This window comes from Homo sapiens, chromosome 4 (assembly GCF_000001405.40).
Source record: "Homo sapiens chromosome 4, GRCh38.p14 Primary Assembly".
Classification (NCBI taxonomy): Eukaryota; Metazoa; Chordata; class Mammalia; order Primates; family Hominidae; genus Homo; species Homo sapiens.
Window position 1 is genome coordinate 141,579,042 of NC_000004.12, and position 2,898 is coordinate 141,581,939.

General features: G+C 38.3%; 1 annotated feature.

Annotated features, from left to right (window-relative positions):
- Window positions 1,247-2,446: an enhancer, noted in NCBI's record as "CDK7 strongly-dependent group 2 enhancer chr4:142501441-142502640 (GRCh37/hg19 assembly coordinates)". NCBI's record gives its function as "activates an origin of replication core promoter dependent on BRD2, BRD4, P300/CBP, MED14 and CDK7 cofactors, with strong dependence on CDK7, by STARR-seq in HCT116 cells {active_cell/tissue: HCT116}" and the evidence as "EXISTENCE:reporter gene assay evidence [ECO:0000049][PMID:35650434]".

Sequence of the window (2,898 nt, forward strand, 5' to 3'; positions counted from 1 at the left end):
GAAACAAGTTATTGTTATTGTTGTTTAATACACAAAAATCTCAGTTCAATTTATTGTAGAATTTAAGGATTACAAATATCACAATAATCATGAACTATGTGAGAATTTGGAATTCATGCCTTTACCTCCCTCAACTTACAGATTAATAAAAATAAATGTAAAGACATTCATTGACTTGTCCAAAATAAAACAACTGAAAATTAGCAGAGCCATGACAATGTGTTACTACAAATCTGCAGTTCAAGTATTTTTTTCATTATTACATCAAGGAATTAAAAATCTAATTGGGGAAATTATAAAATATACCTATTCCATTCTTTGTAATGCCAATTAAAGTAGTTTGTACACTGCTTTATACCTTTTTAGGAGATAGTAAGTGCAAGGACAATACTTCATGGGTTTTATTGGGAAGTGATTATCTAAAAAATTGTGTGTTTGCCTTAACATACAAAAACTAATCAATATAATTCACTATCACATTAACTGAATAAACGGGAAAAGCTAAATGTTTATCTCAATAAGTGCAGAAAAAGCATTTAATAAAATTCAAGTTTGATTAACAAACTCTCAACAAACTAGTAATAGAGGAGAACTTTCTCAATTTTACAAAGAAAATAACATACAGCTAGAATTGTGCTTAATGGTGACATATTGAACAGTATAACCATCATTTCTGGAACAAGGCAAGGGAGCTCACTTTTATTCAATATTGAATAGATTATTTTAGCCAATGCAGTAAGATAATAAAACAAACAAATAATAAAAGACTGACCATGTCAAGTCTTGATGAAAATGTAGATTACTGGAAACATTGTATATCACTGGTGAGAGAATAGAAAAGACACCCACTTTGGGAATAAATTTATCAGCTGTTTTCTAAAGTTATCCATGCGTCTATATTGTGATCCACCAATTCTCTCTCTTTTCTTTTTTCTCTTTCTTTCTTTCTCTTTCTTTCTTTCTTTCTTTCTTTCTTTCTTTCTTTCTTTCTTTCTTTCTTTCTTTTCTTTCTTTTTCTTTCTTTCTCTTTCTTTTTCTTTCTTTCTTTCTTTCTTTCTTTCTTTCTTTCTTTCTTTCTTTCTTTCTTTCTTCCTTTCTCTTTCTTTCTTTTTCTTTCTCTTTTCTTTCTTCTTTCTTTTTTTTCTTTCTTTCCTTCTTTCTTTTATCTTAATTGACTCATGATAATTGTACATACTTATGGGGTACAATGTGATGTTTCAATACATGTAAACATTGTGTAATGATCACATTTGGGGTAATGAGCATATCCATCACCTCAAGCATTTATTATTTCTTTATAGTCCGAACATTCAAAATCTTCTCTTCTAGGTAAGATGGCAGACAGGAAGCAGGACTAGCTTGCAGCTACAGCTCAGATGGATAGAGCAGCATGTGAAGACTCACATCATGAACTTTTGCACCAGTAACTACTGCAGGAACATACCAGGAAAGCAGAAAGAATCCACAGGCGCTTTGAAGGAACTGGATCACCTCTGCAAGCTTCCTGAGATGCTGAAAAATTGTGAGTCTGCTTGCTTTCTTAATGAGGAGGCTTGTGGTCTGGGGCAGGTTCTAAGCCCTGGTCACTGGCTGCCTGGAAATAGACTCAGTGTTATTGGGGGAAGGGGGCATGGTGAAAGTGAGACCAGCCTTTAGGACTGCAGGCTGTGTGGGAATAGAGTAAGGCCTGTGACTGCCAGCTTTCTCCCATTTCACTGGTGACCTGTATGACTCAGCAGAGGCAGCCATAATCCCCCTGGGAATGTAACTCCATTAAACTGGGAACTACACCTCCATTCCCCACAGCAGCCACAGCAAGCCCTGCCCAAGGAGAGGCTGAGCTCAGAAATTCTTATCCCTGCCCCAACTGATGGTCTTTCTCTACCCACCCTGGTAGCTGAAGACAAAGGTCATAATCTCTTGGGAGCTCTATGGCCCGCCCAACACCAGAGAAACCTGAATACTTAACCTGGTGTCCTTAGGGCAAGTTTGCATCCTCCCTATAGGACCTGATATAAAGCTGATGCATTCTGAAAGCACCACCTCCTGGGTGAAGGCCAACAACACAAAACCAGTGCACTAAACAAAAACACAACCAAGGACCCTCACAGAGTCTACTTCACTCCTCTGCCACCTCCACTGGAGCAGCTGCTGGTATCTACAGCTTCAAGACCTGAAGATGGGTCACATCACAGGACTCTTTGCAGACACTCTCCAGTACCAGCCCAGTGCCCAGGAGCTCCGCTGGGTGGCCAGGCACAAAAGAGCAAAAACAATCACTATAGTTTGGCTCTCAGGATGCCCCAGTCCTAGGAGAAGGGGTAGAATAATATATCAAGGGAGCACCCTGTGGGACAAAAGAATGTAAACAGCAGCCCTTGAATCCCAGATCTTCCCTCAGACATAATCTACCCAAATAAGAACGAACCAGAAAAACAATTCTGGTAATATGACAAAACGTGGTTCTTCTTCCCCCAAAAGATCATACCAGCTCACCACAATGGATCCAAACCGAGATGAAATTTCTGAATTGCCAGAAGAAGAATTCAAATGGTTGATTATTAAGCTAATCAAGGAGGCACCAGAGAAAGGTGAAGTCCAACTTAAAGAAATAAAAAACATGATACAAGATATGAAAGGAAAATTCTTCAGTGAAATAAAGAGCATAAATAAAAAACAATCACAACTTCTGGAAATCAAGGACACACTCATAGTGTTCCTGGACCAAACTGACGGCTGGGCTGCTCTTTCTTGTGGCCCAATATCAAGATGCAGATGAACTGGGGAGGAAGAGAGTTTTTAGTTTTGTAACTGCTTACAGGGAGAAAGCCTGGAAATTATTGCCAGACCAACCTAAAATTACAAAGTTTTCCAGAGCTTACATACCTTCTAAGCTAT